We start from the raw sequence: 24818 nt of genomic DNA on the forward strand, positions 1-24818 counted from the left end.
GGCAACAGAGCGAGACTCTATCTCAAAAAAAAAAAAAAAAAAGAAAGAAAAGAAAAATCATCCTTTTTCAAGTATCTTTTCCAAGTCATCCTGGGGCATTGTATGACAGGCCCTCGCAAGGAGAATTTACTTATGTAGAGAAATGTACTGTGCCTGTGTCTGACTTTGCTGTTTCCTATTAATTAAGGATTCAGACTCTGTAAAGTTACATTAACTGGTAGATTTGTATTTGGTAGAAAAGAAGAGGGTTACGGCCATTGCCTTGTAGTACATTAACCAGTTTTACTTCTGTGAAGTTTTACTTCGGTGAAGGCATTGCAGAATGCCCTTCCAAGTCCTCAAACAGCTCCAGGAATGGACTTTCCCATCTTACGAGTTTCTGTGTTAATGAGCTAATAAATTTTTGGTATGTATTTATTTTATATTTGTACAGGATCCCTGCTCTTTCTGAAAATTATACTCTGACAGCCTCCAAGAATGGTGACAGAACCTGTGGCTGTTTACTGTCCAGCGGGTCCTTGCCTGGTTTGTCTGGTGACAGGCCTCAGGCCCCCGTGGCTGTCTGTCAGCTGTGGGTCCTTGGACAGGTTGCCTAACCCCTGCGCTAGCTGAGGTCCTCTGTGCCCCAGCTCCCTCATTTATAAATGAGACGATTACACCATCAGTCTAAGGCTCTTAAAGGGGTAAATGAGACCCAAGTCAAGTGCTTGGTCCTCCACTTTAGGCATAAGAAGCACAGTAACTATAAGAATGATGATGATAATAGCAAAGCTGTCGGTCTCTGTGCATCTCCACTAGCAGCAGGGAAGGCCCGATTTAAAGGCAGACGGGTCATACAGACACCCTTGGTCCCCACCAGGCGGTCTTAATGCACTTTACAAATAAGGGGGTCCTCGGAGCAGAGCCCCTCGGGTATCTCTGCCCCAGTCCTTGGGCCTTCTCTACACGACAGTGAGGTGACTGTTTTTTTTTTTTTTATAGCTTTATTGAGATGTAATTGACACTATACGATTCACTCATTTAAAGTGTACAATTCAGTGGCTTTGAGAATATTCACAGCTGGGCAACTGTCTCCACCATCAATTTCAGATGCTTCTGTTACCTGAGAAGCACCCCGTACACCTCAGCCACCTGCTTCCCCTCCCGCCTCCTCTCCCTCTCCTTGGCCCCAGCAGCCATCAGTCTATTTTCTGTATCAGTGGATTCTCCTACTCCAGACGCTTTGTATAAGCGGAGTCATGCAGCACCTGGCTGCTTTCACTCAGCACAATGCGTTTGAGGCTCATCCGTGTGGGGCCAGCTCACTGTTGGCTGACAGGTGGCCCCTTCTGCAAGGTGGGACTCCTTGGGGCCCTAGCCCAGCCTGGCTCCCCCTAAAGCTGGCGGCCCCGTTCGGGCTCTGCTTTTCTGTATTGGCTGGTGCCAACCCTGCCCTGAGGGGTGTCCTGTGCCCCGAGGACACCCCCGCCTGGCAGCTGCTCCCGCAGCCAACTGGTACTACCGCGCCTTCACCCAGCTCAGGTCCCTCCCCACGTGGACAGAGGGATCATGGAGGTCAGGGAGGCGGATGGAGCCTCAGGACCTCATGCGGGTAGATTTCTTGTCCCTTGTCTCACCAGCTGCTGGTGGCTTGTCTCTCTCCCATCCAGCAGGCAAGAGGCAGTGGTTCATGTTTGGGGGTGGTAGGGACTTCGGAGAGGCTGGAAAGGCAGGAAACACCACCTAAAGGCTCTGGGGGAGGGGGTGCAGGGTCCCACCAAGTCCTCGGGGACAGTGGGGCGGCCTTTCATTTGGTATTTCCCCAGCACCAAGTATGTACAGGCGCCACGCTGGGGGCTGGAAACAACACGAGCAAGGTGGGCACCGTGCCCACCCTCGTGGGGCCGAGCCAGTGGGGGAGGCAAAGCAGATGGCAGTTAAGGCTCGGGTGGGACTGTGATGGGGCCGCTGTCCTGACACCTCTGTCCCCTTGGGTCCACCCAGTGGTGGGCTGCTCGCGGGGTGCCTCCCGAGGCGCTCCTGGCCCGGGAAGGAGGCCGCCGTCTGTTTCCACTTAGCGGCCTCCCAGGCCAACATGATGTCATTGCAGCTTGGCCTGGTGGGCGCTGGCGCCGGGCCACCAGTGACAGCTCAGCTGGGAGCCCCAAGCTAATGAGAAGGGGGCCGTGGCTGCTGCGGCCATGGTGGGGCTGCTGCCTCTCATCCCAGAACCACGGCCTCATCCGCAGAATCCCGGCCTGACCCCAACAGGCAGAGTAGGCGGCAGCCAGGCTGCAGGAATGTGGGGTGGGGTGGTTCACTAAGGAACTGCACCTGGTGGGGGCGGGCGCAGCTGGAGCCAGGGCCTCGAGCTGTGGTCCTCCCGTTCTAGGAGGGTGCTTCGCCAAGGAGCTCTGGGCCTGGCCTGCGGGCGGCTGTGCTGCTGAGCTGTTGCTCACTGCAGAGTCCATGGAATTGGCAGGCCTGGGCACCGTCCGCTGAGGCCAGGTCTCCAGGCCTGGACAGGGAAGCCATTTCTCCCCAGCCACTGCGGCTCACCTCTCCCAGGGCTCAGCTTTCCCTGCTTGATATGGGCTGGCTCTGTGTCCCTACCCAAATCTCATCTGGAATTGTAATCCCCACGCGTCTAGGGAGGGAAGTGGTTGGATGCTGGGGGCAGCTTCCCCCATGCTGTTCTCATGATAGTGAATGAATTCTCACGAGATCTGATGGTTTTATTAATGGTAGTTTTTCTCTCTCTCCTGCCGCCATGTAAGACTGGCTGCTTCCCTTTCTACCATGACTGTAAGTTCCCTGAGGCCTCCCCAGACATGCAGGACTGTGAGTCAGTTAAACCTCTTTTCTTTATAAATTACCCAGTCTTGGGCAGCTCTTTATAGCAGTGTGAGAATGGACTAATACACTGTGGCCCACCTGTAGCTGTGGACAAGGCTGAGGACCAGGGTCTTGTCTGGCTCTGAGTGTCTACACAGCTAAGGGCTGCAGGTGGGGTTGGGCTGTGTCTTCCACAGAGGCCTGAGACCCACAAAGGACAAACCGTCACAGCCCTTGGTGAGGAAACTGAGGCCTAGGGAAGGAGAGCATTTGTACCAAGCAGGATGACATTGCCGGGCTCTGGCTGTGGCTGCCCTGGCACCAGTGTATACAGTCAGGCTATGAGCTGACACAGTAATCCCATAGCGAGCCCACGAAGGCAGATCAGTGCATTTAATCCTCCCAGTGACCCTATGAGATAAGATGTGGAGACTCAGAAACATCACAGAGGGGAGACTTGAACTCAAGTCTGGCTGGCCCAAAACCATGCTCTCGGCCTTTGCCTGCTTGCTCTTCCTGGCTGGTCAAGGGGTCCTGGGCCCTTGCACTGTCATACTGTGTAGCTTTGGGCATAAATGGTTCCTGAGCCACCGTGTCCTCTCCTTACAAAGAGACGTCAGGAGGATGAGGTGACAGATCTGCCTGGGGTACCACACTTGAGGAACTGGGAGTGGACAGGGTGGGAGCCTGAGGTTGCATGGTGCACACTGTCCCCGAGTGAGTGTCAGGACTAGGGAGAACTGCCACAGTCAGGGCCCAGCCTGGGGGTATGGAGCTGGGCAGCAGGGCCCAGTGGGCTGGCTGAGGGCCTTCCCTGGACAGTGACGCGTCCCTCCCCATCCCATGCATTGCATTCCTATTCTCTGGTCGGCAACAAACACACACGTGGCCTCTCCCTGTGCCCACGTTAAAATGTCTGCAGGGCTTTCTGGGAGAGTGAACACACATGTGGCCTCTCCCTGTGCCCACATGAAATGTCTGCAGGGCTTTCTGGGAGGAGGGCTGCATGCAGGCGTGCCATGAATGGCCGGCGGCTCTGGCAGGGTGCTGGGCCCTGGACCGGTGTCTTGGACTGACTCTCACACCTCACCTGTCAGGTTGGAAGTGACACCGTGGCCAGGCTCTGTGTCCCTGTCACTCTTCCACACCCACCTGGCTGCTCCGTGTGCTCTTTTATGTATGTGTATTTTTATCCCTAAAATAACTGCCATGTGCATTTGTTCTGCCTCCTTCCAGGTGTTTTTCCCTGCATGTGTCACACTGTGGTGGTCATGGTGGCCACACCATTTGTCTGCTATCCTGGTCTTTAGTTGATATGATTTATTGGCCAGCCCCTTAGGGAGTTGGGTGGTTTTCCTATACATGACAGACAGCAGACACAGTCTGTCATGATATATTAAATATCTGTGGGCTATGGCATTGGGCAGACATTTCAGACTGACTATTCCCTACTGCTGAACATTTAGGTATTTTGATTTTTTCCTGTCCTAATTAATACTGCAAATAACATCTTTATACATAGAGCTTTCCCACCCACTGAAAATACTTACTATTTTTTTCCTTAGGATAGGTTGAGCCTTTATTGGGCTGTCAAGGTGTCTTCCTAGACCTCATGGTGTCACTGAATTGGATCCATTATAACCCTCCATTCATCTGCTTGGCTCTCGACAGACTCACAAATGTGCTCAGAGGCCAAGTCACCCTGTGTGCTGCCAGCCCGGGTGAGTGTGCCTCTGCCCTCCCACTGGCCTGGCTTTGTTGAAAGTGTCTTTTTCACGTTTTAACTATTAATAGAGAAGGAGATATGCCTTCTTTTCTCCAGAAGGAGTAAAATGTCCCCCTTATGTTTCTTTTCTTCTTGATTTAGGTGAGGTCTGTCTCAGTCTGTGGTCAGTTTTGCTCATTTGTCATTAAAGAAAGCCATGCTACCCACATGGTGCCCCTTTCCCTGCAAGGAGCTGTGTGCTGGATACCACATCGTCCACTGTCTGTCATTTATAGGAAACCCTCCTTTCTCAGGACACAGACCCTGGAGATGGAAAGGTGCTTGGGTGCCATCAGATACTTTTTTTATTTATGAAGATAAAATTTGGGAGAAGTCCAAAGTTGACACTAATTGTGAAAAATTCTCATAATACTAAAAGGTAGAGCTAAAAACACAAAAATCCTCTCACATCCAAATACGCTATGGCAACTGCTCTCTACCTTTTGGTGAACATCCTTGAAGAACTTTCTCCACACAGGTGCACAAATCTCCTTGAGAGATCTGGGCGAGTTCGACAGGCAGGGCAGACATAACAAATGGTCATCCATCTCCTTTGCAGGGCATGTGTGTTCATGTCATGTCACAATCTGTTCAGAGTACTGTCATCAGCAACAGAGCATGGCTCAGCACGCGGGCAAAACTGCACCAACCACGATGCATGGACACAGCACCCATCTAGCCCTGACCTGGTGGTTTGTTTGTGTCCCCTTGCTCTGCCCTACCCAAGGAGGATGGGGGGTTCAGTGTGTAAAAAAATAAAGTCTGGACTCATAGATAATATTATTATACTGTGGAGACAGGTCCTTTTTTTTTTTTTTTTTTTAAAGTATTTTAAATATGGGAGAACCAGGCCTGGAGAGGTGAGCTAACCTGCCCCGGTCCCACAGTGTGGGTAGGACAGGCTGGGGCTGGACCCTAGCCCCCTGATCCCAGTCCCAGGCTCTCTGCTCCTTTTGGCTGGAAACCTCCAGCTCTAAGGGCTAGTAGGAGTTCCTCAGGGCTGGGCTCTAAGCTTCTGGGGGCCAGGGGAGTTGGGGCAGTGCCAGGAGTCCAGGGATGGTAGCATTTGGTTTTTCCAGCCAATGCAGAAACAGCACCTGCTATAACCCCAGAGGCCAGAGGACTTCCAAGAATGTACTGCTCAGAGTGGGGGCCTCTGCTGGAGGGGTGGGGCCAGAGACGGCAACCCCCAGGTTTGCTTTATCAGAGTGGAGGATGGGCCGGCCCCTGAAACCAGAGCCCGTGAGGTGCGGGAGCTTCCCTGCGCTGAGGATGGCTCACCAAGCGCCTCTGCGTGGACGCTTGTCCCCCCGAATTTCCTACAAGAGACACGAGGCAGAGCTGCCATTTGTCCCTGTTAGAAAGAGGCTCTCCACAGGTGGGGGTGCCCTGGCTTCTCGCTGGTTCATCCCTGGGCCCCTTCTCTCTTTCCGCTCCCACTTCCCCAGGCTCAGGGGCTGTGTCCCCTCAATGTGCCGATGAGGGCACGACATCTTGGTTGCTGAGCAACCAAGACACGAACCAGAGCCCCAGGGCTTCCTGTAGGGGCTGACGTGGCTGGGCCTCACCAGAGCGACCAGGTCTCCACCTCTGTCTGGGCCCTGGGTTTTCTTGTCCTTGTGTTTGCGTGACGGCCACAGGGCTGGTGCCTCCGACCTGCTGGGAACCGTGCCTGAGCGGGTCTGTGCTCAGCGTCTGCTGAGTCTCTGGGCCTGGCAGAGGCTGCTTAGGAGGCCAAGCAGGGAGCACCCCTGACGCCCATGGGATCCCAGTGAGACAGTGCTGAACTGTGAAATACACTCCAACTTGTCCAAGACAGCTTGGTTTTGTCCCCGTTTTTTCCCCAGAAGCCCCTTTTATTCATATTTTACCGATTTTTGGGTGCTCCAGACACACGCCGGCTCTGCTCCCTCGGAGAGCCAGCCCTTGGCCTGCCTGCAAAGGTCCCAGGCTCCTGGGAGGCCCCGTGTGGGGGTACACAGCACTCCCAGAGCTGGAAGCCTGCGCCATCCTTCCTAGGGGAGTGGCTGTCTCTCTGTCACTGCCTGGGGGCCGCTGCTCCAGAAGCTCTTTTTGGGGTCTGTTTTTACCTCTTTTCTTTCTGGGCTGCTTCCTCACCCCTTCCTCATTTTTTATTTTAATGAGAAAAGGTCTTGTCCTGACATCCAGGCTGGAGTGCAGTGGTGCAATCACAGCTCACTCCAACCTCCATCTCCTGGGGTCAAACGATCCTTCCTTCTCAGCCTCCTGAGCAGCTGGGATTACAGGTGCATGCCACCATGCCCGGCCCCATTTTTTTTTTATTATGAAAGTTTTCAAGCATTCAACATTTCAAGCAAAGAATGAAATAATAGAACATGATTACCCATACGACCACCACCTGGATTCAACAATGCACTCATCATGTTTCCTCCCGGCTCCCTCTCTGCAGCGTGGCCAGGGATGTGGCACCTCGGCTGGAGGCTGCAGCTCCTGTCAAGGGACTCTGCCTAGAACTGCCCTCTCAGAGCCCAGAATCTTCCCCGTTCCTTCTTCAGACCAGTGGGTGGGAGTAATGGCTCCCACTGTCGCTAGCACTGTGGGCATACCATTCATCTCAGGGTCCCTAACCCCGTCCAGAGAGTGTGTAAATTGTCCCTCTACTTCACGTCCCCAGCCACCCAGTCGGACTGGCCTTCTGACCGACGTCTCTGTGTCTCCTCCTCCTCCCCCTTCCTCCTCTCTCCTTCTTTCTTTTCCTCTTTTCGTGTCTTCCTCCTCCTCCTGCCTCCTTTCTGGTCTAATAACCACTTGGAAGAAAGCTGCAGGCGTCCTGAAACTTGACCTCCAAATAGGCGGATATCCCTCTCCTGAGAATAGGGACAGTTTCCTTCAGAACCACAGCATCAGCACCTGAGACAACTGATCATCCCCTCCCATCCCCTCCCATCGCCTCCCATCCCCTCCCATCCCCTGGGATCCACTCCGCATGTGAATTTCCTAATTGTTCACCTGACCATCCCCTCCCATCCCCTCCCATCACCTGGGATCTGGTCCACATGCGAATTTCCTAATTATTCACTTGACCATCCCCTCCCATCCCCTCCCATCCCCTGGGATCTAGTCCACATGTGAATTTCCTAATTGTTCACCTGACCATCCCCTCCCATCCCCTGGGATCCGGTCCACATGTGAATTTCCTAATTGTTCACCTGACCATCCCCTCCCATCCCCTCCCATCACCTGGGATCCCGTCCACATGCGAATTTCCTAATTGTTCACCTGACCATCCCCTCCCATCCCCTCCCATCCCCTGGGATCCAGTCCACATGCAGATTTCCTAATTGTTCACCTGACCATCCCCTCCCATCCCCTGGGATCCGGTCCACATGCGAATTCCCTAATTGTTCACTTGACCATCCCCTCCCATCCCCTGGGATCCAGTCCACATGCGAATTCCCTAATTGTTCACTTGACCATCCCCTCCCATCCCCTGGGATCCGGTCCACATGTGAATTTCCTAATTGTTCACCTGACCATCCCCTCCCATCACCTGGGATCCGGTCCACATGCGAATTTCCTAATTGTTCACTTGACCATCCCCTCCCATCCCCTGGGATCCGGTCCACATTCAGATTTCCTAATTGTTCACCTGACCATCCCCTCCCATCCCCTCCCATCCCCTGGGATCCGGTCCACATGCGAATTTCCTAATTGTTCACCTGACCATCCCCTCCCATCCCCTCCCATCCCCTGGGATCCGGTCCACATGTGAATTTCCTAATTGTTCACCTGACCATCCCCTCCCATCCCCTCCCATCCCCTGGGATCTGGTCCACATGTGAATTTCCTAATTGTTCACCTGATCATCCCCTCCCATCCCCTGGGATCTGGTCCACATGTGAAGTTCCTAATTGTTCACCTGACCATCCCCTCCCATCCCCTGGGATCCGGTCCACATGCAGCTTTCCTAATTGTTCACCTGACCATCCCCTCCCATCCCCTCCCATCCCCTGGGATCCGGTCCACATGTGAATTTCCTAATTGTTCACCTGACCATCCCCTCCCATGCCCTCCCATCCCCTGGGATCCAGTCCACATGCAGATTTCCTAATTGTTCACCTGACCATCCCCTCCCATCCCCTGGGATCCAGTCCACATGTGAATTTCCTAATTGTTCATCTGATCATCCCCTCCCATCCCCTGGGATCCGGTCCACATGCGAATTTCCTAATTGTTCAAAACGGCCCGTTATGCTTATTTTTGAGGCAGTGCATGCTTGTGCCTGGTGTGTCTGGTTCAGCCTTGGATCTGTTTTATGCCAGGACATGCCCATCTTCTATTTCCCCATGATGCTGACTTTTGGAGGCCAGAGCCAGTGCCTGGCAGCCTGTCCTGTTGCGGGGTCCCTCTTCCCCTGTGTGGCACCCCCAAAGGCTGGCTCAGGGTCGGTCAGCCTTTCAGAGAAGAGCGCTCCCTGCATAGTCCTGCTGCTGAGGCCACGTCATCTCCTGCGAGGGGCGTTGCTAAGGCCAGTGGGTTCTTTCAGCAAACCCACCCTGGCTCCTGCTGCCTCAGGACCAGTGACACGGGCCCAGCCCTGCCCACAGCAATCCCCCTTGAGGTCACGAATGCGGCTCAGGAGGCCCAAGTGTGCACAGTGAGCTCACACCCACTTCCAGCCAACAACCCTCTTGCCTGGTGAAACTTCCCTGGGCTGCCGGACCTGCGAAATCCCAAAATGCCAAACATTCCCGCCTCACATGATCCCAGAGAGAGGGGACCCAGTGTTCCCAGCTTGCAGCTGAGGAGCCCAAGGTTGCCGTCAGATCAGAGCCCCAGTTGCCCGGTCTGCCGCAGCTCTGCTAGATACGACGGGGTCAACAGGGCCCAAAGCCCTCATGCAGCCCGGCCCCGCCCCATGCTGGGGGTTCATACGGTGACCTCTTTCCCTTCCTTGACGGAGGCTCTTCGCTGGACAGTAGACAGGCAATGCCCAGAGTCTTCTGGCCTACGTGGCCTCCTGGCCTGGAGACGCTGTGCCTGGTCGGGGACCTGGTCTGGTGGGGTTTTCTCTCAGCTGTGTGCTCCCCCAGGCCTGATGGAGCCCAGCCTCCCGGGCACTGACAATCAGGTTAAAAGAAAGCACCAATGGGCGGCAGGGTGCAGTGCCTCTTCGCCACCAAGACTTCACCCGTTCACTGACCTCCTCTTCCTCCTGTTCCTGGGAGCCACCATGAGTCCAAGCACTGCCGGATGGTGCAGAGAACAGCAGCCCAAGTCTAGTGTGCTGACCGGCGGCAGCCTGCGCTGCGGCTGAGGATGAAATCACCGTGTTCGAATCCCAGCTCTGAGGGCCAGCCGGAGTGGCCCAGATGTTTCCACTCAGGGTTTGGCAAAGGCACCGCCAGGAGGAGGACAAGAGCGGAGAAAGGCGACTGCCTGAGTGCGGCGGGAAGTTGGGAGCTGCTGCCCTTCAGACAGCTGCCGTTGGAGCTCCCCGAGGGTTCCTTTGGATCAGCCCTGGCCCGAGACCTTTCCAGGGAGGCAGGCTCCTAGTGGCTCTTCTGAGCACCCATCGTTTGTAACCACAGAACCAGGGCACAGAGCCCAGGGGACAGAGTTGTGTGCTGCCCGAGGAAACAAGGATCTGTAGGCTGAAGCAGCTCTCGGGCATGCCGCCGCCACGGAGGGTCCCCGGAGAACAGGAGCCTTCAGGGTTTGGTGGTGTCTGTGGAAGGAGTTCCTAGGTGGCCAGAATTCAGAAAGACAGCACGAGGGGTCGAGGCTGCCCCAGGAACCCTCAACCCACCCTGTATCAGTGTGAATTTACAGGAGTGCCACAGGTTTGAAGCAGCCCAACTTTAATGCTTTAAACTCAGTGATTCATTGGTGGAAATCTTGTCTCACTCCATGAGGATTTGAGGTGGTTCTCGGGAAACTGTACAGTGAAGAATTAAAGTGAGAAGACACTAGGAAAACCCTGAGCCAGATGCTCGGGAACTGGAGCATGGAGATGGTTACACAACCTTGGGAATCTACTCAATGCCCCCGAACTGCACAGAGCAAAGTGGTTAAAGTGGTACATTTTATGTATTCTCCTGCAATAAAAAGACAAAAAAAAGCAAAACCAAAACAAAACAAGAAAACAACTCTGGGCTGGGGAAAATTCCAACTAGAGCGGGGAGAAGGAGAAGACAGAGCCGGGCCCAAGTCCTCCCAGCTGGTGGGGTGGAGCTGTGGCTCGCGGCCCCCTCTTCTGCCTGCAGCCAAAGGGAAAAGAAAACTGTCCATTTGCCGTCATTCTGAAAAGATAAATTGACCTGCTACGTGCCAGGCCCTGTGCTGGAGGCATGACACTGATGATGAAACCAAAACAGTCCCACCCTCAGGGAGCCCCCGCTGTGGGGAGCCCCCGTACACTTGTCCCTCTTCATGGGGACAGCAATGTGAGTTCCTCCAGGTGGAAGTCCGTTTTCAGGCAGTGAGTCTCCAAGAGATTTCACACAACCTTGTGGGGAACGGGGCTGTGGGACCATGCATGGCCCAGACGGGGCCCTAGAAACAAGCTAAGAAGAGAGACCTGGTGGTCCGGCGGTGGAACTGGGACAATGGAGTGGAACGTCCAACCATGCCAGGAGGTGAGTCACTGAGTGAAAGGGTGGAAGGCCCAGGGTGATGGAGAGGGGACATCAGATGGCAGCAGCAGAGGTTCCCGAAGCTTTCTGGAGCCAGGGAAGGTCTGTGTGTGCAGGAAGGGTGATGAGGGCTGGAGGCTGCCGGGCTCTCTGGGAGGGAGGGGCTGAGCTGCTCAGGGGAAGAACATCCGGGAAGCCCAGCTTGAGAATCGGAGCCGCCTGTAATCCCAGCACTTTGGGAGGCCGAGGTGGGTGGATTATGAGGTCAGGAGATCGAGACCATCCTAGCTAACACAGTGAAACCCCGTCTCTACTAAAAATACAAAAAATTAGCCAGGCGTGGTGGCGGGTTCCTGTAGTCCCAGCTACTAAGGAGGCTGAGGCAGGAGAATAGCATGAACCTGGGAGGCGGAGCTTGCAGTGAGCTGAGATTGCGCCACTGCACTCCAGCCTGGCCGACAGTGTGAGACTCCGTCTCAAAAAAAAAAAAAAAAAGAATCGGAGCCTCTCCCATGGGCAGGCCCCGTGGGGAAAGGGCCACATGCAGAGATGCATTGCAGAAGGTCTCAGAAGACCAAGGCTCGTTGGGAGCAGGGTTTGGGGACTTCCCTTGGGGATAGGAGGAACCACCAGCAAGTGCAGGAGGCTTCACGTAGGCATCTAGCTTGTGAGGAAGGAGCAACTGATGAGCGGATACATGTGCCTCCTCACTTGGCATCATGTTTTCCATGTCATTCTTATTGAAGCATGAATCAGAGCTCCATTCCTCTTCATGGCTGAGTAATACTCCATCAAATGGGTGGAATACATTTTATTTATCCATTCGTCAATCATCTTAGGAGGAAGCGTCCCCATTCTGTGCATAAGGAAGAGATTGAATAACTCACTGATGGCTTCACACTGCTGCATGGTGGAGCTGGGATTTGAGCCCTCCTCTGTCCAAGTCAAAGCCTTTGTCCTGTGATGAGGCTCTAGTGGAAATCGCCCAAACACCTAGAAGATCTGGACAAATTGCAACAAACATCCCCTCAAAGGCATAAATGATTGCAGAAAAAAATAACCTTTCTGAGAGGGAGGGTGAGGAAGCAGGCATTGAAAACCAAGCAGAGCGTGACCCATGAGCCCTTGGGACTCCTTGGGATCATTGCCGAAACCAGCTCCTGGAATTAGAGATGGGGGCAAGGTCTGGGCCAGTAGTGCGTGGAGAGTCAGGTCTCCGATGAAAGAGGAGGTTGGATCTCTGGAAGGGTGACAGCCCTGGGGAAAGAGTGGTCTGTTTTCTGGGACAGTTTTGTTGAGATACAATTCACATCCCAGGCAACCCACCCACTGAAGGTGTCCCCAGTCTATGATTTTTACCATATTCACAAGGTTGTGCAACCAGCACCTCAACATAATCTTAGAACATCTTCATCCCTTCGAGAGGAAACCCCATTCACATTCTCCTGACTCCTTCCCTCAGCAGTCATGAATCTACTTTTGGTCTCCATGGATTTGCCAATTCTGGGCATTTCATATAATGGGAATCAGGCAGTATGTGGCCTTTTGTGTCTGTCTGCTTTCACTCAGTGTCATGCTCTCAAGGTTCATTCTTGTTGTAGCATGGATCAGTACTCTGGGCCTTTTGATGGCTAATACTCCATTGTATGGGTGTAATACATTTTATTTATCCATTCATCAATTGGTGAACATGGGGGTTATTTTCACTTTTTGGCAGCTACAAATAATGCTTCCATGAACACCCATGTGCAAATTTTTGTGTGAATGGACATTTTCATTTCAGAAGTTGAATTTCTTGATTATGTGTTAACTCTATGTTTAATTCTGTGAGGAACTGCCAGACTGTTCTCTCACAGTGGCTGCGTTATTTTACATTCCCTCCAGCAGTCTATACAAGTTCTGATTCCTTTACCCGCTCACCAACACTGGTTATCATCTGTCTTTTCTGTAACAGCCATCCCAGTGGGTGTGAAGAGGTATCTCATTGTTGTTTTGATTTGCATTTCCCTGACAGTGAATGACGTTGAGCATCTCTTCATGTGCTTGCTGGCCATTTGCAAATCTCCTGAATAGACATTCAGATCCTTTTCCCTTTTAAAAATTACATTATTTGTCTTTTTATTATTGTGGTTGAAGAGTTCTTTCTATATTTTGAATATACAAGTCCTTAATCAGGAATGTCATTTGCAATGATTTTCTCCTATTTTGTGGGTTATCTTTTCATTTTCGTGACATCATTATTTACAGCATGGAGTTTTAAATTTTGATGTGGTCCAGTTTATGTCTCTCTAGTTTTTGTCATCGTGCTGATCTACTTTATTTTTGGGACAGGGTCTTATTGTATTGCCCAGGCTGGTCTGAAATTCCTGGGCTCAAGTGACCTTCCCACCTTAGCCACCCAATAAGCTAGGATTACAGGAATGGGCTGCAGAACCTGGCTGTGACCTCCTTTTGTTATTTTTTTTAACCTTTTTGCTCTGTCTCTGAGAATTCATAACCATACATCTTCTCTCATATGAATTCAGTGTTCAAATTTGTACCAACTATATAGTTTATGAAACTCTTAACTTGGGGATGAAGTTAAAAATGTTTAAGATGATTGCAGATGCATACAAGTGCAGGTGCACGCTATACAGTTCCCTCTGTTTTCCCCAAGATTAATACCAGCCAAAAATTAACTCACAATCCAAAATTAGAGACCATGGATGGAGGCAAACCAGCTCAGGCATAAGTCAGCAGAGAAAACAACAGCAGTGCTCAAGCCTTATGGATTTCAGATATTGATAGTATCAGATATAAAACACACTGATAAGTGTGTTTAAAGAAATAAAGAATTAAATCAAACATGAGAAAATATCAACAGTCATGAGTAATTTTTTCAAAAATAATCCAAATAGGCCTTTAGAAATAGAAAATAGAAGCATTCAATTGAAAACTTATTGGATGGGCCTAAAAGAAGATTAGATACCACTGAGGGGGAATTAGTGAACTAGAAGATATAGCCAAAAATTATTCAGAAAATAGTGGAGAGAGACAGCACAGAAAATATAGAAGAGGGATTGAGAGACATTTCAGAAGATGTCTTAGTTATTTATTGCTGCATAACAAATTACCTCCGAAATTAAGGTTCAAAACAACAGCAATCACTTCTCATTTCTCACTGTTTCTGTGCATAAGGAACTGAGAATCTCGGTTGGGCTGTGCTTGGGGTCTCATAAGGTTGAAGGTAGTTGATGGCTGGGGCTGCCATTATCTGAAAGCTCAACTGGGGCTAAGGATCCACTCACATGGCAGGAAAATTGTTGTAGGTTGCTTGCCAGGGCTCTTAATTCCTTTCCACCTGGGCCTCTTCATGCACTGCTTGGGTGTCCTCAGAGTGGCAGGGAGGCATGGTGCCCAGCTTCCTTAAAGTGAGAGATTCAAGTGGGTGTGTTTGTGTGGAGGGGGGAAGCTGCAAGGGTTTTTCAGATCCAGTCTTGGATGTCACACACTGTCACTCCTGCCACACTGTGTTGGTCATACAGGTCAGCTCTGATTCTGGTGTGAGGGTCCCCCCATCATGGAGGCCAGCTACCATAGAAAGAGAGAAGGGGGAAGATGGATACAGCAGTAATTAAAGCAATGGTAGCTGAGAGTTTTCTGTAACTGATGAAAGACATGCATCCTCAGATTCAAGAAGCCCCATCAAGGCAAGCTGGGTATTTACTATGTGACATTTAGACATATAGTAAATATGTGCTAAAAGCAAAGAGAAGATCCTGTAAGCAACCATACAAAAGACAGATTCCCTATCAGAGAGCATGTAGGCTGCCAGCCAATTTCCAACAACAACAAAAAAAGCCCCAAACAAAAACAAAGCCCCAAACAATTAGAAAATATTTTCAAAGTGCTCCAAAAGAACTGTTAACTTCAATTCTGTACCAGATAAATGTCATTGAAATCATGGTGGATAAGGAAAATTTCAGACAAACTAAAGCTGAGCTAGATCCTCCTCACAGACCCACTCTAAAACAACTTGTAAATAATATAAATCAAGAGGAAAGAAAATGATTCCAGAAGGGAGAATGAGATGCCAGAAGGAGTGACATGTGAAAGAATCATTTAGATTTACTCACACATTCATCCAAGGCCGACTGAGTAAGTACTCTTGGGAAGTCAGCAGGGAAGTGGGGAGTAGAACAGAAAGGGAGGTGGCCAAGGGGGAGGCTCTCAGCAAAGCCCGAAGAGTGAAGAGCAGGGCTTCGGCCTGGCTGTTACCCCACTCCGGGGAGGGGCTGGGTTTTTATGCTTCCCACCCTCAGGCCTGGTCAAGAGTAGGTGGAGGGCAGCCACCGTTCCCTCTGATTCTTCCAGCCTATGGGAAAAAATGCGCTGCAATATCCCAAGGGCAAAAAATAAAAATATAAATAAATAAAAAGACCTAGAATTGCTGCTCTTGGAAGCAAAAGTCCACTGACGCCAGAGGGTGCTCAAGAAATGGTATAAAGCGGAGGCCACACATCAGCCTTGTCTACTTTGACTGCATTAAATAATATCCAATTTGAAAGATTAAAAAAAAGAACTAAAATATCAGCCACAGCTAACAGGAGAGGATTTGGTGGCAGTTAAAGTGTCTTGCGTTTCTTTTACTGTTTAAGAGAAAGGTAGAGAAATCAATTTCAGGCTTAGGTATGCATGTCAAAATGGTGAGGACAACGGCTAAACATAAACCGAAATAGAATGGTTTACTGCCAAACAGCAGAGGGGAAAAACAGAATGAAATTGACAGGCTGGAAAAACATATGAAACCCAGGTATGTGCTGTTTTTGGAAGAAGGTTCTCATAAGGAAAGAGAATCAAGGCAGGACCCAGGTCTGTTATGGGGAGCCTTGGGTCACCCTGCCAGCCGAGGCCGTGGCAGAGGACAAGAGGAACGCAGAACCTGCATTGGGAGAAAGGAGCTAGGAGTGCTGACCTGGGTGCGAGGCCAGCTCCGGAAGCGGGATGGCGGCAGCTCTGCTCCTGTCATTTCCTTCCCGCCTCTGCTCTTTCCACTCCGCTGATGTGAAGAGCCTTGGTGGTAGCTGATCTGTCACATCTCACGAGGAGCCATGTCCAGACACCACCCATGATGACATGGTAGCACGTGGAGGACAGCAAGTTTTCAGCCAGAGGAAGGACACGAGTACATGGAGGTTGAGGGGCAAAAGGGGTGGAATGTATTGGGTGTATTTTTTTTCTTTTTTTAAAATGGCTTTATTGAGATTTATTTTATATACCAAACAACTCACCCATTTAAAGTGTATGATTCAATGTTTTTTGGTATGTTATTATTTTTAAAAATTGTGGTAAAATATATAAAACATACAATTTGTGGCCGGGGCCATGGCTTACGCCTGTTATCCCAATGCTTTTGGAGGCGAAAGTGGGAAGATCGCTTAAGCATTCCAGGAGTTTGAGACCAGCCTGGGCAACATAGTGAGACCCTGTCTCTACAAAAAAATTAAAAAATTAGCTGGGTGTGGTGGCACAGGCCTGTAGTCCCAGCTACTAGGGAGGCTGAGGCGGGAGGATGGCTGGAGCCCAGGACACTGAAGCCGCAGTGAGCCGCGATTGCACCGCTGTATCCAGCCTGGGTGGCGGAGTGAGACCCTTCCTCAAACAACAACAAGAACAATGACAAAAACCCAAAATAACCTTTGCCATTTCAACCATCTTAAGTATATAATTCAGTGGCATTAATTACATTGGCAATGTGTAACCACCACTATCTGTTTTCCGAATGTCATGAACCCAAAGAGAAACTACACCCACTAAGTAGTTAACTCCCCATTCTTCCCTCTTCCAACCCTGGTAACCTCTAATCTACTTTCTGTCTCTGTGAATTTGCCTATTTTAGATATTCCATAGAAATAGAATTATAGGCTGGATGCGGTGGCTCATGCTCGTAATCCCAGCACTTTGGGAGGCTGAGGCAGGCGGATCATTTGAGGTCAGGAGTTTGAGACCAGCCTGGCCAACATGGTGAAACCCCATCTCTACTAAAAAACATAAAAATTAGCCAGGCATGGTGGTGTGTGCCTGTAATCTCTGCTACTGGGGAGGCTGAGGCATGAGAATCGCTTGGATCTAGGAGGTGGAGGTTGCCTTCAGCAGAAATTGTACCACTGCACTGGGTGACAGAGTGAGACTTCATCCCTGCTCCCACCTCTGCAAAAAAAGAAATAGAATTACATAGTGTGTGGTGTGGTGTTTTTCATCGGCTTATTCATGTCGTAGCAGGAATCAGAACCCCATTCCTTTTTATGACCACATAATATTCCACTGTATGGAACGAACACAGTTTGTGTATCCATTCGCCTGTCCCACTTGGGTGGTTGGTGTATTTTGGGGATTGGAAATAGGGCTGCTGGGAGCCTGTGTGTGGATTCACTCGAGCCCCTGTTTCCAATTCCACTGGGACTATGTCTGGAGTATCATTGCTGGGTTACCTGGTAGTTCTGTTTAGCTTTTTGAGGCGCCACTGCAGTGTTTCCAACGGCACATGATGCATTTGCCGGTGGGTCTGTTTGGCCCCTCCATACCCACCCTCCACCTTTCTCGGCTCTGCTCTGTAACCGGACGTGGTCCTGGGTAGACAGTGCCAAAGGCCCCCTTCCCCTCCAATTCCAGGTTAGGCTCAGCCGGCGGGCGGGGTGACAGGAGGGAAGGCAGGGTGGGCGTTCCCAGGGCCCTCCCTGTGAGGTTGTCTCAGGGTGGCCGTGCAGCTGCATGGAGGTGGCAGCTCTCCCAAGGTGTGACTCCATGGGGATCGGAAGTGCTGCCTCCCTCCTCCCTGGGCCTGCGGTGAGAGCCCTGTGACCACACTCTCCTGGGGCTCCCTTCACCCACACTATTGCAAACACTCCCTTTGTAAATCAGCGGTCCCTGAATCATCTGGGCTGGAGTGAGTCCCCCATTTCCTGTTGAAATCAGCCCCCAGCCCCCGTGTGCTCTGGACTGGATGTGCCTTCGAGGCTGGAGGGGCAGGAGCTCCCCTCCTCGTAATCCCCAAGCCGAATGCCCAGCAGGACGCAGAGGTCAGTAGGGATATTTTGGACGCACGAAAGAATGGCCTCACTGTTTCGATAGTTGCTCACATATTCTAAGCACGTCGGAAACGCGGAGCTTCTGGCCTCGGGCCTGAGTGGAGAAAAGACCGGCTTCCCCGAGGGCTCTCTCGTCTATCAAAGGGAATCAAACTGACAGCTAGGTGCTGGGGACAGCCTCATGAAGAGGAGGAAGTTCACTCGGCAGAGGACCAGTGAAGGCTCTGCACTCTGGGAAGAACGAGGTCGTGGCTCAGCCCCACCTCGGGCTTACCTGGGCAGGTGACTTCGGCTGCCCGCCTGGGAGTGGGATATTCTTAGCTTCATGTGATGACCCTGTAAATAGGGTGCTTGTGGGGATGAAAGAGCTTCCTGCTCATGTAGGGCCAGGTAAGGGGACTTGAGGGACCCGCGAAGAGCCTGATGGTGCCCCGGGTGTGTGGGTGGCGGATCCCAGCTGCGTGGAGCCCCGGCTTGCACTCAGCATAGAGCACAGATGCACAAGAACTATTTGCTGAATAAACAAATAACAGAACATGGTAGTCCAGAGAAACCCTTGTTTATATAACAGGAAGACAGAAGAGAATGTTTATAGGAATATGGCTTATAAAGCCAACAAAACGGACACAGCTCAGAGGCTCATCAACAGGTGGCTGGACAAAAGAATGGGGCTGTATCCACGTGGTAGAATATTACACGGCAGTTAGGTGCGCGGATAATGGCTCCGTGTGCCCCCAGGCGCACCTTGCCATGGATGAATATCAAATATGATTGAGGGAGAAAAGTCAGGGAAAGAAATATATGTATATTCAATTTCATACATTTCACAAATGCTATACCTACTGCTGCCGTAACAAATCGCCGTGAATTTAAAACGTGTAGTTTAAAACAACACATATTGATTATCTTATGGCTCTGGAAGTCAGAAGTCCAGCATTGGTCTCACTGGTCTAGAATCCAGGTGTGGGCAGGGCTCTGGAGAGCAGTCCCCCTCCAGCACCTATGGGCCACCTGCGGTCCTCGGCTCTTGGCCCCACCCTTCGTCGTCAAGGCCAGCAGCATCTTCTCTCCCCGACCTTGGTCTCCATCCTCACATCTTCTCTCTCTGACTCTGACCCCCCTGCCTCCCTGTTGTAAGGACCTGATTAATTACACTGGACTCACTGCCCCACTACATCTGCAAAATCAGGTGACATATTCCCAGTTCCAGGAACTGGGACACCTTTGGAGGCCACCATTCTGTCTACTGCACAGATGAATGACAAACATGCACCCAGGAGAATGGGGGTCTCTGGGGAGGGCAGATGGGATAGGGGAGACATACAGAGGCACGTCTTCGGGGCTGGACAGCTTTATTATCACTGTTGAATTAAGAAACAGGGGTAGCAGTTTCTGCACCCACCCCTGTCAGGGACCCTCTCCAACAGCCCAGCCCCCAGTGGCTGCATCTCTGTGTCCCTGGCACACCTCACCATCATGATGGGGCTGGAGGTGGACATTGGTGAATACATATCCCAACTCCCTACCCCTGAGAGGGAGGGGAATTCTGGGCCCTTTTTCCAGAGCATCACCGTAGGGTTCCCCATCACCCTCCCTGGGAACTGGCTTCACATAATGTAAAGATAACCATTTTAAAGTAAGCAGTTCCATGGCATTTAGTACCTTCATGATGTGAGGCAGCCACCACCTCTGTCCGGTTCTAAAACATTTGCATCACTCCAAAGAGAACTTTGTACCATGTCCCATCACCCCCCTCCAGCCCTTGATGACTGTGGATCTGCTATCACCGCCGTTATTCCCCCTCCAGCCCCCAGCCCCTGGTGACTGTGGGTCTGCCATCACCGCCGTTATTCCCCCTCCAGCCCCCCAGCCCCTGGTGACTGTGGGTCTGCTACCACCCCCGTCATTCCCCCTCCAGCGCCCAGCCTCTGGTGACCGCAGATCTGCCTTCTGTCTTGGAGGATTTGCCCGTTCTGGACATTTCATGGAGATGAATCACACAACATGTGGGCTCGGGTCTGGCTTCTTTTCTGAGGCTCTGCCGTGTGGTCGTCTGTGTGAGAGCTCTGCTCCCTTGCATGGCTGAGGAACATCCCATTGTCCGGATAGACCACCGCGTGTGGACCCTCCTCTGCTGAGGGGTATCTGGGCTGCTTCCACCTTTGGCTTCTGTGAATTGTGCTCTAGGAACCTCGGTGAACACACACTTGTTGGAGTCCCTGTCTTCAGTTCTTCCAGGCACACACCTGGCTGTGGAGCTGCACGTGCTCTCTCGATGGCTACCCCCCTCCCCGGTGGCCCCTCTCCCCCCAGCATTCTCTCCATCCTTGGGTCCTTGTGTCAGGGGTTGCTTCTGGGGAAACGGAAATGTCACAGAAACTTAACAAACGTGAGATCTGTTAGTTCTGGTTCTGAGTCACCTTCTCTAAACCTGTGCTGTGCAATGTGGAAGCCACGGTCCGTACTTGGCTGTTTCAATGCAGGTGAATTTAAAAAGATGGACTTTAGATGCAGGTCCAGAGGCACAGTGGCCCCATTTCAAGTGGCCAGTGGCTACCGAATGGGACAGGGCCGATATAGGACGTGCCCATCATCGGGAAAGTTCCACTGGACAGTGCTGCTCTATATTTTTGGGAAATATTTTGTACTTAAAAACGTGCCCCAAAGAACCCCAAAGTGAACAACGAAAACAAGCCATTTTGGAGCATGAGAGTGGCACGGGTGCAGCAGGGGCAGAATCGGTGGGGCCAGGATCAGCGGGGGCAGGATCCGCAGGGGGTGCCGGCGGTGCTGGCTTGAACGAGCTGACTCCGAGCCCTTGAAGCTAGGGCTCAGCCTCTCAATCTGGAATGTGGCCCCTACAGAGCTGGGTGGGTCTGGGGACATGGATGAGGCTGTCCCAGGTGGGGCAGGTCAAGGCACTGCTTAGAGCAGGGTTCAAAGCTGGGGCGTGCAGACCCAGGAGGCCGTAGGGTCTGTAAAGCACCCAGAGGCCGGTACAGCTCCAAGCCCCAGGGTGCCTGGGGAGGGCAGGCAGGGCCAGGCAGGGGCAGACCCTGAGTGGGGGCTATGTGCCCCCTCCCATCTTCCAGGAGCAGAGCACGTGCTGGAGCAGGAGTAGTGGGGGCCACCCTCTCCATAGAGCAGGTCTCAGGCCAACCAGCTGGGCAACTGGACAGGCCCAAAAGGCCCCTGGGTCTCAGTTTCCTTGTGTCTGAAATAAGCAGGGTCTCTGGTCTCCTACAGGGCCAGGGCACTCTCTTCCTCCTGGCTGAGCCTCTGGTGCATTTGCTGAATTTTGCCAGCACCTCGGAAGGACTTACCACATGCCATGACCCTTTCTGAACACTACAGAGTTTAGCTCATTGAATCGGTATGGCAACCCCATAGGGGGAATGGTCTTGTGAATCTCACTTTACAGATGAGGAAACCGAGGCAGGGAGGATAGGCAACCTCACCAAGGTCACACGGTCAGTTGGGGTCTGGGGGTCTGGCTGGGAGTCTGTGCACCTTACCACCAGGCCTCATGATCTGTCGATCTGTCCAGAGAGACTCAGGTCCCTGGGCTACTAGCTAGGGGTCACCTGCACTTTGGCTGGAGGCAACATCTTAAAGTAAAGGAAGAGCTTAGAGCCCTCAACCTCTGTCGCCCTGCCCGGCCGGCTGCCCCCACAGCCTGACGCCCGCCGAGATGCAGCAGCCTCCGCACTCTGCTCGTGTGGGACTGCACCAGGCAGCTCTCTTTGTGTCCAGGATCCCAGCAGCCCAGGCCGCATGACCTCATCCCCGTCCACACCCCGGGCCTCACACTAAAAGTGACCCTGCTAGCTTATTGTTTATTGGAGGTTTTGTGGAAACCTGAAGAAAATAAAAAAAACTACGAACTTTTGGAGTTGGGCAGAGTCTGTCTCCCTCCAAACACAGCATTGTTGCTGCATGTTTGAAGGTTCCTCCTCCCTGTGCCACGTGGACGGCAGCGACCTTCTCCCTGGGACGGACGTTCAGAGGAGGGAAGCGATGTCCAGCCCTTGGAGGGGCCTGGCTGTCCTTTGTGGGGTTCTGAGTTCTTCCCCCTTTGTGACTCTTAGAGCTGCTCTAAGCTGGGTTCTCACTCCAAGAAAGCAATCGGGGTTTTTCCATCGGCTTGCTCCTGTCCCCTTGGGTGCCAGAATTGTAAGCTGGAGATGATTAAACAGAAAGTGTGGGAATCCATAAAAACAAGGGTGCCAGGTACTGCAGAGGACCCACTCTGCACTCGGCCTTCCTTCCCCAGGTCTCCCAAGGCTGACCATGTGGAAATTAAAACATCATCTTCCAGGAAATTAATGAAAACCGAATTTATGAGGCAGCTGTTCTCGGATGTGAACTTTCTTAAAGGACCAGTGGGCCCAGGGGTGAGGTGCGGAGCAGCCCCCTCCCCGACCCTGTTGCTGCCATCAACCCGCCGCTCAGCAGAGCCTTCTATTTGGAAATGAACCCACAAAAGGCCTCTGGGTACCAGGGCCCTGAGCATGCGCCACGCTGGGGTGGATAGAGAGGCCGTCACTTGGTCCCTGGATTCATTCTCCTAGGACAGGGACATCCACAGGGGCTGGCCTTTCCATGCATGTGGGGCATGCGGTGCTGATGCACTGTTGGGGTTGCTCTGATGTGCCAAGGCCCCTCCCGGGCCCCACAGCCATTGCTTCATTTGTAATCCAAGTCGCTAAATGCAAATCAGCCAGCACGGTTTTGGCACCACTTCTCCGTCAGTGAGCTGAAGCGGGGTGGACTACATTTCTAAGATTCCATATTTATAGTGGCTGCCATTGTAACAGACTTAGCAGTGGGCTAAGCATTTCATAAGCACAATTTTATTCTGTCCTTGCAAGAATCTGTGGAATGGGCTCTGTTGCGTTCACCTCCAGTTTACGGAAGGAAAAACCGAGGATCAGAGAGGGGAGGTGACTTTCCCAAAGCAGCCCAGCCAGCTTGTCCAGACTCCTGTCCACTGTGCTCCACTCGGTTCAGGAGTTTCAGAGGTGCATGCCAACGCCGGGCAGACAGGACTAGAATAAAACCCACGCGTGGATGCTGCTTCCCTGCCCGAATCATGGCATCTCACAAGCCCAAAAGTAGGCCCTGGAGGGCAGGAGCGGGCAAGCGCATTCCCTGGGCTTATCATGATCCAGAGGAAGGTGGGATGTTTTGCCAAAAGCGTGCCCTCTGTCCACACAGAGAACTCATCTCAACTCCTGGGCTGAACTGAGGAGCGAAAGGTATTTTCCATATTGTGTTAAAGTCATCTGTATGGGAGGCGTGCAGATGGAAATAAAATATTTACCATTTGGAACAAAATTTCAACTGGAGCAAAAAGCACTCTAAGCAAAGGATGTGGGGGGAGAGGGGAAGATTTCAGACACAAACAGCTGCTGCCCAGCTGTGGCCGAGGGAGAAGGATGGGAACTGTTGTTGGGGACTTGGTCCTGAGGCTGGGGCCAGGGGTGTGCTTTCCTCCTCCGGGAGTGCTGGGCTTCTTCTGGGACCTCTCCTGGGGGCACCTCAGCTTGGGGGTGCTGCCTGGGTGCCCTCCCCTGCCCTTTGCTCAGCACTGTGTGCCAGGCCAAGGAGGCCCCGACCTCGGACGCTTTCCCAGCCCTTTCATGGACGTCCCCCTCTTCCACCTCCCTACCCAGCCCATCTGCTCGCGTGTCCTACCTCCTCCCTGTCCCACAGGGAACTTCACTGTCACCCCATGGTCCTGCCGTGGCCAGCTGTCCTCTGAGCACCTTACCTGGACACCCCACAGAGATGCCCCAAGAGACCTGGGGGAGCCCAGAAGGTGCAGCTGGAAGGAACCATGAGACCTGGTCAGTTAGGGAAACTGAGGACTGGGTGGGAAGGGAGCTTTCTAAGGTGACTTGGGGAGTGAATGGCCGAGTGCAGGCGTCCCCTGAAAGGCTGACACGCTCCTACGCCACCATCTCTCACCGACTTCGAGGTTGTGTTTCTAGAGGGGTGGTCAATGTCAATGCACAAGATGGTCTTGGCTGCGCCGGGAATAACTACAGACAGTTATTTCCTTATCAAGGGAGCGGCCTTCCCACCCCCATGCTGCAAACACACACTTGCTGGCTCCCTGGAGTTGGCTGTGGGTCTCTCCTGAGAGGAGGGTCCCACCTGGCAGTGGGAAGGGTGAAGCAGTTGTTAGGAGACAGAGCCCCAGGGCCCTGAGGCTTTGGGCCTGGACACTCCTGTGGAGGCCTCCAGAGTGGCCCCTGGAGACACCCCCTTCCCATGTGCTTGAGGGCCCTGTGGATGGTCCAAGGCTGGCACCAGGGAAGGAACCTGGAACTTCCTGGGTGAGAAAACCCAAAACCATGGATGTGTGAGGCATCTACTCCTGCCTTCTTTGTAGCTGCTGGGGGCTGAGGCCATGACATCCCCAGGCCCTGACCTCCAGAGTGACCTCCACGCTGCCTGGGGAGGCACCAGAGTCATCGTTTCAGCGACCCCGGGACCTACCTTCTCAACTGTGGGACAATCCCCCTATTGATTCTCTGGTTCAACGAGAGG

General features: G+C 52.3%; 1 long non-coding RNA gene across 2 annotated transcripts in view, besides 3 other annotated features; it reads left to right on the forward strand.

Annotated features, from left to right (window-relative positions):
* LOC100506532 (uncharacterized) overlaps nucleotides 1-24818 on the forward strand; it is a 58996-nt gene that overhangs the window by 29818 nt on the left and 4360 nt on the right. Inside the window, exons 4-5 of one of the 2 annotated variants that reach the window (NR_188442.1) lie at nucleotides 4385-4535; nucleotides 5139-5362. The exons of the other annotated variant lie outside the window; for it this stretch is intronic. This is a non-coding gene — a long non-coding RNA (uncharacterized LOC100506532). Of the gene's footprint in view, nucleotides 1-4384; nucleotides 4536-5138; nucleotides 5363-24818 lie in introns of those variants that run through there. 2 annotated transcript variants of the gene reach the window in all.
* Nucleotides 2374-2874: an enhancer, noted in NCBI's record as "H3K4me1 hESC enhancer chr9:137410305-137410805 (GRCh37/hg19 assembly coordinates)". NCBI's record gives its function as "activates a minimal SCP1, AML or CMV promoter by ChIP-STARR-seq in naive H9 embryonic stem cells {active_cell/tissue: H9 hESC(naive)}" and the evidence as "EXISTENCE:reporter gene assay evidence [ECO:0000049][PMID:30033119]".
* Nucleotides 6106-6810: an enhancer, noted in NCBI's record as "H3K4me1 hESC enhancer chr9:137414037-137414741 (GRCh37/hg19 assembly coordinates)". NCBI's record gives its function as "activates a minimal SCP1, AML or CMV promoter by ChIP-STARR-seq in primed H9 embryonic stem cells {active_cell/tissue: H9 hESC(primed)}" and the evidence as "EXISTENCE:reporter gene assay evidence [ECO:0000049][PMID:30033119]".
* Nucleotides 22616-23248: an enhancer, noted in NCBI's record as "H3K4me1 hESC enhancer chr9:137430547-137431179 (GRCh37/hg19 assembly coordinates)". NCBI's record gives its function as "activates a minimal SCP1, AML or CMV promoter by ChIP-STARR-seq in primed H9 embryonic stem cells {active_cell/tissue: H9 hESC(primed)}" and the evidence as "EXISTENCE:reporter gene assay evidence [ECO:0000049][PMID:30033119]".

This window comes from Homo sapiens, chromosome 9, assembly GCF_000001405.40.
Source record: "Homo sapiens chromosome 9, GRCh38.p14 Primary Assembly".
NCBI lineage: Eukaryota > Metazoa > Chordata > Mammalia > Primates > Hominidae > Homo > Homo sapiens.